Consider the following 17687-nt stretch of genomic DNA (forward strand, 5'->3'; position numbering starts at 1 on the left):
AGTTCCCTTCCATCATTTAGAATCAGCTCTTTTATAACTATGAAATCCTGCTAGGGTTTTGATTGTATTGCATTAAATCTATAGATTAATTTGGGAAAAGTTGACATTTCTGCTGTGTTGAATCTTTCAATCCATAAACATGGTATGTCTCTTTATTTATTTATCTAATCAGTGTTGTAGTTTTGAGCGTGCAGATCCTGTATATGTTTCGTTAGATTTATGCCTAACTATCTCAATTTGGGGGAGCTGTGGTAAAGAGCATTGCTTTTAAAATTTTCTTTTCTTTATTTTTTATTTTTTAGAGACAGGGCCTTGCTCTGTCATCCAGGCTGGAGTGCAGTGGTGCAATCATAGCTCACTACATCCCTGAGCTCCTGGGCTTAAGCAGTCCTCCCACCTCAGCCTCCCAGGCAGCTGCGACTATAGGCATGTACCACTAAGCTTGACTAATTTTCTTATTTTATTTTTTTGTAGAGACAGGTTGCTATATTGCCCATGCTTGTCTCAAACTCCTGACCTCAGGTGATCCTCCTTCCTCGGCCTCCCAGAATGCTAGGATTATAGACATGAGTTATTGCATCCAGCCTAAATTTTATTTTGAAATTGTATATTGCTGTATATAGAAGTGTGATTGATTTTTGTGGTTGACTTTGTATCCTGTGACCTTGCCACATTTATTTGTTACATAAAGTTATATAAGTTTTTTGTAGATTCTTTGGGCTTTCTAAGAAAATAATCATGCAGTCCGTGAATAGGGAAATTTTGTTTCTTCCTTTCCAATCACTAGGTCTTTTATTTCTTTTTCATTTCCAGGAGGATGTTAAGAATGGTAACAGCAGACATTCTTTTCATTTACCAATCTTAAGGGAAAGCATTCAGTTTTTCACCTTTACGTATAATGTTAGCTAAAGGTTTTTTGTAGAAATACCCTTTATTAGATTGAGGAGGTTCCCTTCTGCTTCTGCTTTGCTAACAGTTTTCATCAAGAATGGATGTGTCTAATGCCTTTTATGCATCAATTGGTGTAGTCTTGTTTTTCTTCTTTAGACTGTTAATGTGGTAGATTGATTTTCAAATATTGAATCAGCTTGCATTCTCAATAAACCCCACTTAGTTGTGGTGTTGAATTCTTTTCGTATACTGGCATATTTGGTTTCCTAATACTTTGTTGAAGATTTTTACATCTGTGTTTATGAAGAATACTGATCTGTAGTTTGTTTCTTTTTTATTTTGGTACTGTGTTTAGATTTGGTATCAGGGTAATGCTGGACTCATAAAATGAGCTGGGAAATTTTTCATCATCTTTTCTTTTGAATTGCTTTAGTTTCATGCTACAAATTAAGATATGTTGTATTTTCATTTGGTTCAAAATATTTTATTTCCCTTGAGACTTCCTTTTTGATCTGTAAATTATTTAGAGGTGTTTTGTTTAATTTCCATGTATTTGGATGCTTTCTTTTTTTTGTTATTTATTTTTTGTTTATATTATATTCGGAGAACCCAATTCCCTGGGGTTTCCTTTATCAATGTCCATCCAGAAAATTGTGGCTATCATTAAGTTGCACTGTAGTTGCACCTAAATCAGGGACTAAGGGACTAGAGGACAGAGAGAGAAAAAAACAGAAAAGCAATGGGTGTTGGCCCCACCTTTTCAGAACCACAGCTCCAGCGGACTTAGAAGAAGAACCCTCCTTCAGATTTTTGGCTCCCGCACATTTCCATTGTTGCCACCGCATGTGGCTATAGGATTGCCTATGGCTGATTCATGGTGTATGAGAGAAAAGAGAAGAAAATGGGGATTTTCTATCATTTCTCTGAGCACTTGTTTCTTTTCTTGCTCCTTGAGGCCGAGTGCTTCTGGAGAATTGCTCATTTCATGTTTCCAGCCGCATTTAAGTTCAGGCTGGGGACATTCAAGGGAAAAGCTATTTCAGACTCACTGCTAGTTCAGTGGTCCTTTGAGTTCTGATGATCTTCCCTGATCTGCCTGCTATTTCCTTTTCAGAGCCTTCAAACAGCTGCTCCATGCATCCTTTCCAGATTTCATGGTTGCATTCAGTGGGAGATACAGGGTACAGTGTGCTTGCTACATCTTACTCAGGACAAGCCCATCCTAGGATGGATTATTTTTAAAGCTAAACGCTAACATTTCTTGCATCTTAGCACATCTGAATGGATTTAAAGGATCTAAAATGACTCAAAATATTCTTTATATGATCAGATTCTTTTTTTTTTTTTTTTTTTTTTTTTTTTGCAGACAGAGTCTTGCTCTGTCGCCTAGGCTGGAGTGCAGTGGCATGATCTCGGCTCACTGCAACCTCTGCCTCCCGGGTTAAATCGATTCATGTGCCTCAGCCTCCCGAGTAGCTGGAATTGCAGGTGTGCACCACCATGTCTGGCTAATTTTTGTATTTTTGTAGAGATGGGGGTTTCACCATGATGGCCAGGCTGGTTTCAAACTCCTGGCCTGAAGTGATCTGCCTGCCTCTGTCTCCCAAAGTGCTGGGATTACAGGTGTTAGCTACCACACCTGGCCTAAATGATCAGATTCTTAACCAGTTGATTCTCAACTGTGGTGGGAGAAAGGGAGGAATTCACATACCATAATCTTGGAAATGGCATAAAGAAAGGGTTTCACAATACATGTACTTGTGGTTGAAAATCATGACTTTTATTTAAAGATGTTGCCCATGTAAGTGATGCAGAGGCAGGAAAATACATTGAATCACTGGTTTAGACCATCAAACAATAAATCTTCTTTGAGAGGGTGTAGAGGTCAGAGATCTATTTAGAGTAAATGATGGAAGTTTTGGTGACTTTTCTCTAGAAATAGATACAGTCATATGTATAAAATCAGAGTGGGGGATTAATGGATCCCAGGCTTTGTAGCCCTTCCATAGATAGTATTAGGTCTTATACAGTGTTTTGTTTATACTCGTGTTCAAGTTCTTGTGTTAAACCTTTCTCACAAGTTACAGAAACCTAAAATCTCAGATGGCTGGCTTAGGCAAGAAGAGAGAATTGGTTTACATTACCAAGCAATGGAAAGGGTAAGGGTGCACCTAGCTAGTCTCAGGGACCTAAGCTAGAAAGCCACCAGGTTCTTTTTCTAGTTTGTCTCTGTCTGTCTCTGAATGACAGCTACTATTTCAGATTGTTTTTTTCCCATGTGGTAGATACTATAACTGATAGAAATTTCTTCAGGTTTATATCTCCATAGCTTTATTACCAGGGAGGGACTGAAAATCCCTTTCTCTGATACCAAGTTTAAAAATCCTGGAGAAATACTTGATTTGAGTCAGATTAAACACACTAAGGGTTTACAAAAAATACTCAATGTTTGTAATTCTTCTTATACTGCTGTATCGTATGAATATAGATCATAGGAACCTTGAGAGTGAGATGTAATAAAAGCTGGGACCTCCTAGTCAAAAATTTAGAACAGGAATATTTTGTGTAGTGTTATCTTCGGGAAACAAAGTTTGTGTATGTTTTATGGGTTAAACTATCTTTTTTCCTAATGAATTCTGAGACTTTGCTAATGTTTGTTCACCCATTCAACAAATATTTGTATTTCTTTTCTAGCTTCAAAGGCTGCATTTCTACAGACTTGAGTAGGATGTATGCTCTTGGAACATCTGTTTTGAGGATTAGCAGTGTTCAAGCAAAGGCCAAATACTCATTTCTCGGGGTTTGTGTAGGGCTTCACCTTAGTTTGTCTTCTCCTTGAGTAGAGTCTGAGACAAAGACATAAGCCTAGGTGGTTTATTTGAGAGCTTGCCTGGGAAGTAGGAGTGAGAAGCCTGGGGAGTGAGAGAGGGAACAAAAAAGTATGATGTTGCGATTGTTGCTGTGAGCAGTAGAGAAACCTCCTGAGCAGTGTGTAGAATGCTACCCAGTATTACCCATTTGAAAGGTGGAAGGCTTGACCATTTATCCATAAGTTCTCATTCCCTTTTGATTAAAGGTGTTAACTCTTTTGTGCTTTAAGCTATACTTGTGCTTCTGAAGATGTTGAGGCGTAATGGGCTCACTTGAGGTGGGATGCTAGAGGATAATGGGAGTATGAATTCCTGCAGCTGTGGCTGAAATGACACATGGGCCAAGGGAGTGTGACATGAGCTTCAAAGGTGTCTGTTACAGGACCTTATAACTAAAGAGTCTCTATAGTCTGCTATTTTTTTTTTTTTTGGTCCTAGTAAGGGGTCTAATATCTATTGTTTATTGTGCACTTAGGCATTGAGGTAATTACTTTAGATATATTGTTTCATCTCACTAAAGTAAACATCTAATTTTAGATGGTCTCTTGGTGATTATATTATAGTTTGATATTTTCCCAGGGTTGTAAAAGAATTCACCCGTATTGGAATTTGTTTTACTCACCTGTTCTGAAGGGTATGCCAAAGGATTTGGAAATTGAGGTCTTCCAACTCACTTAACTATAAATAATAATCTCATGGGAAGAGATAGTTTCTTCTATATAATGTTATGTTTAAGGAATTCATGATAGCAGAATATTCCTATGCTATGTGCCAGGGTAGTTGACCCGGGATTGTGTATAACATCCCAGCTAACAAAGATCAACCTACAGTTTTCTTTGAATTTGGTATCCTAGATGATCTAATTCTCCAGATGAGCATGTATTTTCTCTTCAGTGATACTGCCTAAAAGACTTAGGGTAGTTAAGAGAATTTTCTTCAACAGCTGCCTTTTAGTCTTGCTCCTGTCCCACTTTCATCTCTGACTGATTATCATTGTGATAGTCTTGTCTTCCATTTTATTAATGTCTCAGCATACCATTTTAGTTCATAGTTCGTACTAGAATGGATACAACATGCATCTGAGTTTATTTAACAAATTTTAGATTCTTCTTTCCTTAGTTGAGACTTTAAACATTGTTATTCTGTTGCTGATGAAGTCCATGGTTTATGTCTGTCTTAGTTACTGCTTGTAAGTGGCCCCTTATTAAGGCTCAAGTTTTTATTTTGGTTCTAGATTTAGTTTTTTGGCTTAAAGTTCAAATTCTTATTGTGGCCAACTCCCTTAATAGACTCTTACCAGTGTCCTTGACCCTAGCTTTGGGAAAGACTACTTTCTAGAAATTTTCTGTTGGCTCACGATATTAGCCATGCTGTCAGGCTGTATTCTTACCCTTCTCATACTTGAGCTACTCTATTGGACCCGTCATGTCAGTCTAGCAGACTAGTTAAGAACACACATTTTAGAGTCAACTCTACCTACATTTGAGTTCCTGGTCTGATACTTGCTAACTGTGCTTTCCTTGTTTCTGTGTCCTGTTCCGTAAAATGGACATAATACTTCCTGTTTTGTAAAGTATATAAAATGCATAGTACAGTGCTCGGCATATGCTATAAGTGCCTGAAAAATTATAAAAAGAACATTATCATCACTGTCCTGCTCCTCCTCGATGTCATCATCATTATTCTTTCTTTTGTAGCTTCTTTTCCTTTTTGCTTCTTTCTCCCTCTCTACTTTTCTTACTTTCTTTTTTCTTTCTTTTGGTAAATCTTAACTAGATTCCAATTTCGTGTTTTGGTTTATCAGAACATCCTGGATTTCGTCTTACTTATTTGCAGTATTTTATGCATAAATATATAATAGAATTTTGTGCACCTGGCTTTTTCCAAATTGTGACCTCCCGTGCACTCCCCAACCCACAACAATCTATCTTTAGCATCTACCATTCCACTGAAATAGCTTTGATCAAGGTCAGCAGTGACCCTGTTGCTAATTGAATATTTTCTTCTCAGTCCTTATCTTACGTGACCTTTACCATCCAAAGAGATGACTGTCTCATTCTTGAAAGATTCTTCCCTTGACTTCTGTTTTGGCTTTACTCCGTCTCAGTTTTCTTTCAGAATACATTATCTTTTGCCCATTCATTGAACTATCATTGTTTCTTAAGAGTTTGATTTATACCTTTTTACGCTTTCTAAAATGTTTCAAATTAGATAATATTTTATATACACATGAATATATGTATCATATATATGTTAGGAACCATAATAGCCAAATGAATTCTTGTGAACCCACCATCCAATTTACACACTAGACAATTACCAGTACCTTTATTTTTGTATATTCTCTGTGAGGCTGAATAATGACACAGCCACCCACCAAATATGTTCATGTCCTAATCCCCAGAACCTGAGAATGTTACCTTATATGGCAAAAGGGACTTTGCATGCCTGGGCAACATAGCAAGACCCTGTCTCCAAAAAAGTAAAATCAAATAAAAATTTAGCTAGGTGTGGTGTCATGTGCCTGTAGTCCCAGCTACTTGGAAGGCTGAAACAGGAGGATTGCTTGAGCCTAGAAGTTCGAGGCTTCAGTGAGCTATGATTGCGCCACTGCACCCCAGCCTGGGTGACAGAGCAAGACCCCATCTCTTTAAAATAAAAGGGAGGGGAGGCTTTGCAGATGTGATAAAGTTGAGGATCTTGAGATGGGAAGATTACCCTGGTGGGCCTGATGTAATCACAATGGTCCTTATAAGAAGGATGCAGGTGGAGTCAGAGAAATAGTGTAGAGTTGGAAGCAGAGATTGGAGTGATGTGACTACATGTCAAAGAATGCCAACAGTCTCTAAAAGCTAGAAGAAACAAGAAACAAATTGTCCCCTGGAGCCTCCAGAAGAGTCCATTCCTGCTGACACATTGATATTAGCCCTGTGAGACTGATTTCCAACTTCTGACTTCTAGATCTATAAGAGAATAAATGTAATAAATGTGTGTTGTTTCAATCCACAAATTTCGTAGTAATTTGTTACTGCAACTATAGGAAACTAATATACTCTCCCTGTGTCTCATTATCCACCATGACTTCATTTACCATCTATTTACACTAAAGCCTAAATGTAAATGATTTATTTACATCATATGTACTTTTCACTTAAGAAATTCAACACATATACGTGGCAACTACAAATGGGTAGAGAATTTTTTAAAAACAGTTAAAAATGCAAGTTAATACTCTTATTTTTCTACTTAATGATCATTTAGGACTCAACTAAAGAAACGGTAGTTTGTTCTAGTGCTAGACGACTGGCTTATTAAGAGATAGTATGTGAGTCTCCTTTGGAGGGGATCTTCCTAAATTAGAATTTCCAAAGATGATTTTTGCTATTTGCAGTTGTTGCCTAACACTGACTTTAGGACCTGCTCTTCATGAAAGATGTGATTCTGTATCTTTTCCATGAATTCTAGGTGCATAGATCTAACCAAGACATCCTCATCTTGGATTTTGCACAGGCGTCTCAAATCCAGCATACCTGAAACAATGTTACGATGATGACTTCCTCCACAACTTCGCTTATTTATTTTCTTTCTTTCTTTCTCTCTCTTTCTTTCTTTCTCTTTCGTCCTTCCTTTCCTTTCCTTTCCTTTCCTTTTCCTTTTCCTTTTCCCTTTCCTTTCCTTTCCTTCCTTTCTCTTTCTTTCTTTCTTTCTCTCTCTCTTTCTTTCTCTTTCTCTCTTTCTTTCCCTTTCTTTTCTTTTCTTCTTTCTTTTCTTTCCTTCTTTCTTTCTTTTGGAGTTTCGCTCTTGTTACCCAGGCTGGAGTGCAATGGCACAGTCTTGGCTCACGGCAACCTCTGCCTCCTGGGTTCAAGCGATTCTCCTGCCCCAGCCTCCCAAGTAGCTGGGATTACAGGCATGTGCCACCGTGCCCGGCTAATTTTGTAGTTTTAATAGAGATGGGGTTTCTCCATGTTGGTCTGGCTGGTCTTGAGCTCCCAACCTCAGGTGATCTGCTTGCCTTGGCCTCCCAAAGTGCTAGGATTACAGGCGTGAGCTACTGTGCCTGGCCACACTTATTTTCCTTTTTAGTAATTGTCACCAACACCCAGCCAGTTGTCTAAGCCAGAAACCTGTGTATTATTCTTCTCTCCTTCCTCTCTTAGGCTTCATATCAGCTAGTCATTAAATTCTAGTATTCATTTTCCTAACTCTGAATCAATTTCCATCTTTGCTACAGCTATTGCTATCATCCTGCCTCCTAACTGATCTCCCTCTCATCAGTCTCAGTTTGTTCTCCATGTTGGGTACATGTTGCAAAAGTCTAAACTTCCCAGCATGCCACAGAGTCCTTCATATTCCCTGCTCATTTCATTCTTGGGCATTCATACTTTCATCAGTCCCCTCCTGACCCAATCTCCAGCTGTACATAAACTCTATATTTTAGTATTTCTCAACTGCTTGCAACCCCTAAATGTTTTCTCTCTTTTCTGTAATTAAGGCTCTGTCTGCCTAGACTATTTCTTCTGCTTTCCTGTCTGTGCCTTCTCTGCCCCGGCCTACCCCCAACACCCTTTGCCTATTTAAGTCCTGTTTATCCTTCAGGTGGCAGTTTAACCATCATTTTCTTTGAGGAGCATTATCTGAACTCACAAGTTTAGATTAAGTACTTATCTGTGAAGTCTTAGAGCTCCCTCTCTTACCTCATCATGTTTTTGGAAACTGCTACTTTAAGGGAAACAATGTATAAACAAAACCAGTTTAACCGTAGGCTAATTGATATAAAACAAGAGTTAAAAAAGATCATCACATTTCTAAATAAAGGCCCAAGCATTTCTAATATTAATCATTAAAATAAATGTGAGCTAGGGCTGGGCGTGGTGGCTCACGCCTGTAATCCCAGCACTTTGGGAGGCCGAGGCAGGTGGATCATGAGGTCAGGAGATTGAGACCATCCTGGCTAACACGGTGAAACCCTGTCTCTACTAAAAATACAAAAAATTAGCCGGGCGTGGTGTTGGGTGCCTGTAGTCCCAGCTACTTGGGAGGCTGAGGCAGGAGAATGGTGTGAACCCAGGAGGCGGAGCTTGCAGTGAGCCGAGATCGCGCCACTGCACTCCAGCCTGAGCAACAGAGTGAGACTCTGTCTCAAAATAAAATAAAATAAAATAAAATAAAATAAAATTAAATTAAAATAAAAATAAATAGCTATATACACATTTAAGAAAGATGAATAAAAACAAGTAAGATACTTATCCATTTATTTCAGTTCAGGGTCAAGAGTGGCCAGAGCCAGCCCTGATAGCTCAGAGCACAGGACAGGAACCAGCCCTGGACAGGATGCCATCACATTGCAGGGCACACTCAAACATACCCACACTCACTCAGACCGTGGCCATGTATACATGCCAGTTCAGCTCACATGTACATCCTTCGGATGTGGGAGGAAACTGGAGTACACAGAGAAAACCCATGTGAACATGAGGAGAATGTGCAAACTCCACACAGATAGTATCCCTGGCCGGGAATTAATTTCGTTTTTTCTTTTTCATCAACATATAACAAAATGACCTTGAACAAGCTGATATTATTCAAAGACCTGCTGTACTTACTATGCTTCATCATGATGGCCTGTTTACTTGTCTGTGTTTCTCTTTAGACTTAAGTTCTTCAAGATCAAGAACTGTTTCTTCACCTGTTTGTTTTTACAGGCTAACACAGTACTTAGCGTGTAATAGATACTTCATATAATAGATACTTGGTAAACATCTGTGGACTCATTTGATTATGGAATCATATAGAAATTTAAAACTAATGCACAGCAGCATCTCCATAAGCAGTATAGCATATATTTTTTTTGAGTCGGAGTCTCGCTCTGTCACCCAGGTTGAAGTACAGTGGCACGATCTCGGCTCACTGCAAGCTCTGCCTCTCAGCCTCCTGAGTAGCTGGGAGTACAGGCGCCCGCCACCACGCCTGGCTAATTTTTTGTATTTTTAGTAGAGATGGGCTTTCACTGTGTTAGCCAGGATGGTCTCGATTTCCTGACCTCATGATCCGCCCGCCTCGGCCTCCCAAAGTGCTGGGATTGCAGGTGTGAGCCACTGCACCCGGCCTTATATATTTTTTTCTTATGAAATAACTGTTTGGGTTTTCAATATAGCCATCATGGACAATGTCAGAGATTACCAAAAAATGATGACTTTTATAGCTTTATGATGCTTCTTATTTCATACTATTGAATAATACTATTGCAAACTTTATCTTACGGCAATATTTACTAAAATGTATATGTGGAGTCCTGTCAGAAAGACAGCTTTCCATGTGATTTGGGTTATTAGAACTCTAAAGTTGTTCATGAAGGAATGGACATGTATTGCAAATCTAAGTAACTTCCAATTGTAATTTTTTTCCGTAATAAATAGCTGTATAGCTATTATGTGATTTTAGAATAGCAGAATGCTTGATATGCAGTATAAACCCAGACTTTGGAAATAGAAGATTATACATTCTGTTTATAGTCTGCATTAAATATACCGCATGATTTTATTTGGCTAAATTTGTTCAATTCTATGTATTTTGGAAATAAAAGCAACTCAAAAATAGGAATCAACTAGAGTTTAAGGGATTTTTAAATATTATAGGTATTGTTACATTTTATTATTTCAATTACTGGGAGTTGATGGGTGGCAAGATAAGACGCACTGGTGGGAGTAAATTTGGGAAGATGAAGAATTCATGGCTTTTCAACCATAATTTAAGCTACTGGTTATGTGGTACTATACCTACATTTAAAAGTTGCCAAGTGTTGCCAACCGTGGTTGCCAAGACTGTACTGCACATAATAAGTACAAAATGTGTGAAAGAATTCAAGTAATATGTTAAATGTTTAATTCCCTTTTCAATCTTGGGATGTTGGATGATCAATGAAAACAGAAGTATCTGGCAGGTACAGGCAACATTGTTAAGAAAGCTTTTCCTTACAGTCCTGCTGCATCTCACTTACACCTCCCACTCCCCAATGCACAGTTATTTCTCCATGCATAGAAAAGTACTTCATATGTACCTTTTTCATAGAAATTACCATTTGCATTCAAACTATTGGCATTGCGATTATTGTTTATATGTCTGCCTTCTCGCAATAAACTATAAAATCTTGAAAGCAAGTTATTATTGGGTTTAGCATTGTGCGTAAGACATAATAGATATTTCATAGTAGATGTTTGGTGAATTGAGAATAGGAATTAGAATCTTGGTATACATTCTTAAATATATATGGTTGACGGAGTTCAACTGAGCTTCTTTTTTTTTTGAGATGGAGTTTCGGCCTTATCACCCAGGCTGGAGTGCAATGGCGCGATCTCAGCTCACTGAAACCTCTGCCTCCTGGGTTCAAGTGATTCTTCTGCCTCAGCCTCCCGAGTAGGTGCCACCATGCCCGGCTAATTTTTGTATTTTTAGTAGAGACGGGGTTACACCTTGTTGGCCAGGCTGGTCTTGAACTCCCGACCTCAGGTGATCCACCTGCCTCTGCCTCCCAAAGTGCTGGGATTACAGGCGTGAGCCACCATGCCTGGCCTCAAATGAGTTTTTAAACATAGGTATGCCAATTTGTAGTTAATAAGTATTAACTCTTGTTAGATCTTTTAAACTTCTCTTCAGAGTATTTTATTGCCTGGATATTTACCAGCATAACTAAAAATGTTTTCTGTTTTTGTTTTTGTTTTGAGATAGTCTCACTCTGTCGCCCAAGGTGGAGTGCTGTGGCGGGATCTCAGCTCACTGCATCCTCTGCCTCCTGGGTTCAAGTGATTCCTGTGCCTCAGCCTCCCAAGTAGCTGGGATTACAGGTGTACGCCACCACACCCAGCTAGTTTTTCTATTTTTAGTAGAGATGGGGTTTCACCATGTTGGCCAGGCTGGTCTCAGACTGCTGACCTCAAGTGATCTACCCACCTCAGAAAAGTGTTGGGATTTCAGACGTGGGCCATAGTGCCTGACCAAAAATGTTTTAAAGTTAAAAAATCTTAGGTGAATATTTTAAAATTATGGGATATTATGAAAAGTCAGTTGAAGAAGTACTGGTTTTGTGTCTCGTTTTCTTGTTGATTAGGTTGGTTCTGTGATTAAAAGCAAATTGCCTATATAATTCTGATAGTACTTATTAAAAAGTCATTGACTTAGGCTTTTAGGTAACTATTCATAATTTATAAGGGAAGCCAGTGGGAGTTTTAATTACTTGTTCTGTTCTAGTAGTCTGCAGTTTTATTGACTCGATTTGGATGAATCTTACAATAAATAATTGTTGAGTTTTTCCTAAACAGTATGAGGGCCTGTAAAAGCATAAATTGAATAACAAGCAGACTATTTTCTTCATTAAGCTAACCACAATGAAAATTTTTGTGCCGGGCTTGGTGGCTCACGCCTGTAATCCCAGCACTTTGGGAGGCTGAGGTGGGCGGATCACCTGAGGTCAGGAGTTCGAGACCAGCCTCAACATGGAGAAACCCCTTCTCTACTAAAAATACGAAATTAGCCGGGCGTGGTGGTACTTGCCTGTAATCCCAGCTACTTGGAAGGCTGAGGCAGGAGAATTACTTGAACCTGGGAGGCGGAGGTTGCGGTGAGCCGAGATCGCGCCATTGCACTCCAGTGTGGGCAACAAGAGCGTAACTCCGTCTCAAAAAAAAAAAAAAGAAAATTTTTGTGTGTATGTGTGTGTATACACCTGTGCCTGTGTGTATTGTAATTTATTTTTATGTGTCCTTTTGTGCTTTTATGCATATGTTTTTTGTTATGTTACATTTCTGAGTTGATAGTTTTTTCTTTTGTTTTGAAACTATTGGAATTTTCTATTAATTTTAAGCAAATTGCCAAGTACATTAAATTTGTAGACATCCATTTTTAAAATTGTATTTTAAAATGGCATTGCTTTGCTGACTAGTATAGAATATTTTCAGTTTTTCTTTTATTAACAAATAATATCGGCCAGGTGCAGTGGCTCACGTCTGTAATCCCAGCACTTTCGGAGGCCGAGGCAGGTGGATCACTTGAGGTCAGGAGTTCCAGACCAGCCTGACTAACACGGCGAAACCCCATCTCTACTAAAAATACAAAAATTAGCTGGGTGTGGTGGCAGGTGCCTGTAATCCTAGCTACTCAGGAGGCTGAGGCAGGAGAATCGTATGAACCTGGGAGATGGAAGTTGCAGTGAGCCGAGATCACGCCATTGTACTTAAGCCTGGGCGACAAGAGTGAAACTTCATCTCAAAAAAAAAAAAAAAACAAACCAAAACAAAAAACTCAAATAATCTCTAGTTATAGTAACTTATTACTAAATCTTTCCTTGATTTGAATCTGATTTCAGAAAAATGATTGCATTAGAACAGGCCATAGGTAGCAAACTTTACTGTAGTTGTTCAGGAAAATGAATTGTTTAGTTAGTTAGTTAGTTTGTTTGTTTGTTTATTTATTTATTTTGAGACGGAGTCTCACTCTGTCGCCCAGGCTGGAGTGCAGTGGCGCAATCTTGGCTCACTGCAAGCTCCGCCTCCCAGGTTCATGCCATTCTCCTGTCTCAGCCTCTTGAGTAGCTGGGACTACTTGCGTCCACCACCATGCCTGGCTAATTTTTTGTATTTTTTAGTAGAGACGGGGTTTCACCGTGTTAGCCAGGATGGTCTTGATCTCCTGACCTTGTGATCCGCCTGCCTTGGCCTCCTAAAGTGCTGGAATTACAGGCGTGAGCCACCGTGCCCAGCCTGTTTCTTCCTTTTTTTTGAGATGGAGTTGTACTCTTGTCACTGAGGCAGGAGTGCATTGGCACAATATCGGCTCACTGCAACTTCCACTTCCCGGGTTCAAATGATTCTTCTGCTTCAGCCTCCCGAGTAGCTGGGATTACAGGCATGTGCCGCCATGCCTGGCTAATTTTTTTTGTTTTAGTGGAGACGGGGTTTCACCATGTTGGCCAGGCTGGTTTCGAACTTCTTACCTCAAGTGATCTGCCTGCCTCGGCGTCTCAAAGTGCTGGGATTACAGGCGTGAACCATTGCACCCGGCCGAGTTATATATATATAAAATAAATTCTAAGAGTCTCCTTCTCTATCCCATCTGCTCATTTACCACTGCTTACCCCACTCCCAAAAAATCATTATTAGTTTCTTATGCTTGGAGTCCGTTTATGCATATTTAAGAAAATATATTATTCTTGCCCATTTTTCCACAGAGGAGGCATACTAATTGTAATTTTCATGTTGCTTTCAATTTTTTAACTTTCCATTAAAATTTTCACACATGCAGAAAAGTGGAGTGCTGTGAATCTATAAACCTACCACCTAGATTTAACATGGTTAGTGGTTAGTATTTTGCTGGTTTTGCTTATTTTGCATATATATGTATATAAATGAGCAAAAGGCATATATTTGAGTATGTATAGATTAGCAACAGACAAACACATATATTGATCTAAGCCATCTGAAACTCAATTATAAATATCATGGTATTCCATCCCTAAATACTTTTTTTTTTTTTTTGAGACAGCGTCTCGCTCTGTCTCACAGGCTGGAGCATGTGGTGCTATCATGGCTCACTGCATCCTCCGCCCTCTGGTCTCATGTGATACTCCACACCTCAACCTCCCAAGTAGCTGGAACCACAGGCATGTGCCACCATGCCCAGCTAATTTTTGTGTTTTTTGGTAGAGACGGGATTTCACCATGTTGCCCAGGCTGGTCTTGAACTCTTGGGCTCAAGGGATCCACCGGCCTCAGTCTCCCAAAGAACTGGGATTACAGGTGTGACACCATGCCTGGCAATACTTCACTTTTTTAAGGTAAATTACCACTCAGTCAATGAAGGATTTCAACCAAAAGAGTCACATGATTGGGTATAATAATTACTTGTTTAGGTTGAAGGTGCCTTTGAGGAAGAGAAGACTAGAGGCAGAGAGGCCAATTATTAATAAGTGATTGTTGTACAGGCATGCTTTGGAGATACTGCAGGTTTGGTTCCAGACCACCACTAGATTGTGCAAATACCATGGTAAAGCGAGTCACACAAATTTTTTGGTTTCCCAGTGATAAAAGTTATTTTTCCACCACACTGTAGACTGTTAAGTGTGCAGTAGCATTATGTCTAAAAAACAGTGTACGTACCCTAATTTAAAAATTCTTTACTGCTCAGCTCAAGAATGTTAACGATCATCTGAGCCTTCAGTGGGGTTCTCTTTCCTCTCTTGCCTTCCTATGAATTGGTCCTGCTTGTGACTAGAGGGAAAGAAGTGAACATTTGTTTCTCCGCACACCAGCTCCTTCATGCCAATTACTTAACTAGTTATTTAATTCTACCAGTAATTATTTGCGGTATTATTATCCTTATTTTTGCAGATGAGGAAATTGAAGTGCAGAGTTGTGAAATAATTTGTTCAAGATCATATTGCTCTTAAGTGGCAGATCTGGAATTTTCACGAGTCTGACTGACTGTGAAGTTACTACATGACTGTTATCCAGTTTGTTTCATGAAGTGAAAAATATATGAATGCTGGTAATTTTTGTTTTCTTCTGCATGTATTCATTATTCTTAATGATGTGATCATCAGCCTTTTAAAAAACAATATGTCAGTCCATTTGCAAATACACCACTCTTAGGCACTTTATTTTTGAATTGAAGTATGCAACTTGTACCAACTAGCTTTCCCTTTGATGTAATATTGCCAAACAATGAAATATCATGTCTTATATTGTCACCATATTTTATTTTTGAATTCACTTTTTATTTTATTTTTAATATATTTTTTATACAAATGTAATCTCAGTGGTTTTAGGGCTGATACAGAGAAGTTTTAGACCAAAAGATTCCTAAACCGAAGCAAAAAGTGACAAGTTGGAACACTTGAAAGTGAAGAGAAAATGCATAGCCATCTTAAAAAAAAAAATTAGGAGGTGATCTGTCCAAGATGACACAGTAGCATTAGAGCAGTTGTGAAGCAGATCATCTAATGGCTTTTTGACCCCTTCTGACCTTCAAAAGCGTAAGAAAATAAATTATTCTGCCCTTAAAGACCAAAACGTAGGTTTTTAAGAGCAACATCTTGATTCATTTGAAAATAGTAAACTCTCAAGCTGTAACACTCCCAACCTCAGTCAATGTAAAACAGACATCATACAATTTAAATTCTCGTATGGTAGTCCCTAGAGAAGCACTTGAATAGAGAATTGCTTATCAAACTGTGTCAGTCAGGATCCTAAACCCCAAAATACCTGTAGCTTAAAATAACAGAGATTTATTTCTTGTTCATGTTGCATTTCCCTTGTGGGACAGTCAGGAATGCTACTCCGTGTATCCTCACTTGGGAACTCAGACTAACTACTGTTGGTTACTGGGATGTAGGAAAAGAGGCAGTTAGGCATTGACTTCTAAAGCTACTGCTGGATAATGTCATTTCCCCTTATACTTCACTAATTTAGGTAAGTTACGTTCCTACACCTAACCAAGAAGTGGCAATGGGAGTGTAGTCTCAAAATACGATTAGAAGGAGAATATGATTAATACTGAGTGTCACCTTGATTGGATTGAAGGATGCAAAGTATTGATCCTGGGTGTGTCTGTGAGGGTGTTGCCAAAGGAGATTAACATTTGAGTCAGTGGGCTGGGAAAGGCAGACCCACCCGTAATCTGGGTGGGCACCATCTAATCAGCTGCCAGTGTGGCTAGACTGTAAAGCAGGCTGAAAAACATGGAAAGACTAGACTGGCCTAGCCTCCCAGCCATACATCTTTCTCCCGTGGTGGATGCTTCCTGCCCTTGAACATCAGACTCCAAGTTCTTCATTTTTGGGACTCGGGTTGGCTTTCCTTGCTCCTCAACTTGCAGATGGCTTATTGTGGGACCTTGTGATGGTGTGAGTTAATACTTAATAAACTCCCTTGTTAGTTGTGTCCCTCTAGAGAACCCTGACTAATACAGAGAAGAACTGGAATATGGGTGCCCAGCTGGAATGACTAACAAGCCTTTTGAGGAATATAGAGAATTACGCATGATTGATTGGTAGAATGATTTTTTTAAAAAAATGCCAAATAGCTTTGAAGTAATCCTGTTTTGATTGAATTAAGGGTCTTGTTGCTGAAAGGTGAACTAGGCAGTTTAGCCAGAAATGTCCAGTAGAGGAGTAAACTGGTTAATTGGACATCCTTTTCCTTGTGTTTTGTCTGTTACATTTTCATAAGCATATTTAAGATTTGCTCTTATGTGCTTGCTTATAACATAAATCTATTAATAAAGATTCACAGTTATCAACTATTTTTATGTAGAACATGTTGGATAATGATGCTATGCAAAGTCTAAAAAATCAAGAGGTTAATAATTGGTAGGACATATAACAAAAACTATCTCATATTTTGTGTTACATAGGCAAGCACTAGTAGTTTTTAAAAAGTATATAATTTGGGAAAATTTGTTCCATGAGGCAGTACAAATGAATAATCATATTGAAGTTCAACAGCTTAATTCTGGACTTCTGAAATTTTCCAAGGAGATGAGTGATTAATAGATACAAACATACTATTTTTATGTACATATGTGAAGAGACTGTCTCTAGGCAGTTATAAATCTTCTTCATCTTTGACAAACTTTTGCATATGTGTCTTTATTGGTGTTGTAAACCAGGGATTATCTGTTTCTTCACAAGGCATGCTCTTTTTAAAATATTGTCGTGGTTTATACATACTATGAAATTTACCATTTTAACTATTTTTAAGTATATTTCATTGGCATTAAGTACATTCACATTGTTGTGCAACCATTACCATCATATATCTCCAGAACTTTTTCATCTTCTAAAACTGAAGTCTGTACCCATTACACAGTAATTCTCTATTCTTCTCTCTCATAAGCCCCTGGCAACTACCATTTTACTTTCTGTTTCTGTGAGTT

The 17687-nt window shown here is 38.7% G+C and overlaps 1 protein-coding gene across 5 annotated transcripts in view; it reads left to right on the forward strand.

Annotated features, from left to right (window-relative positions):
- The window catches only part of NDUFS4 (NADH:ubiquinone oxidoreductase subunit S4), a 122700-nt gene that overhangs the window by 12667 nt on the left and 92346 nt on the right, over nucleotides 1-17687 (forward strand). The window contains exon 2 of one of the 5 annotated variants that reach the window (NR_134475.2): nucleotides 303-426. The exons of the other annotated variants lie outside the window; for them this stretch is intronic. The gene's annotated coding sequence lies outside the window, so the exon portion shown is untranslated. The remainder of the gene's footprint in view (nucleotides 1-302; nucleotides 427-17687) is intronic. 5 annotated transcript variants of the gene reach the window in all.

This window comes from Homo sapiens, chromosome 5 (genome assembly GCF_000001405.40).
Source record: "Homo sapiens chromosome 5, GRCh38.p14 Primary Assembly".
NCBI lineage: Eukaryota > Metazoa > Chordata > Mammalia > Primates > Hominidae > Homo > Homo sapiens.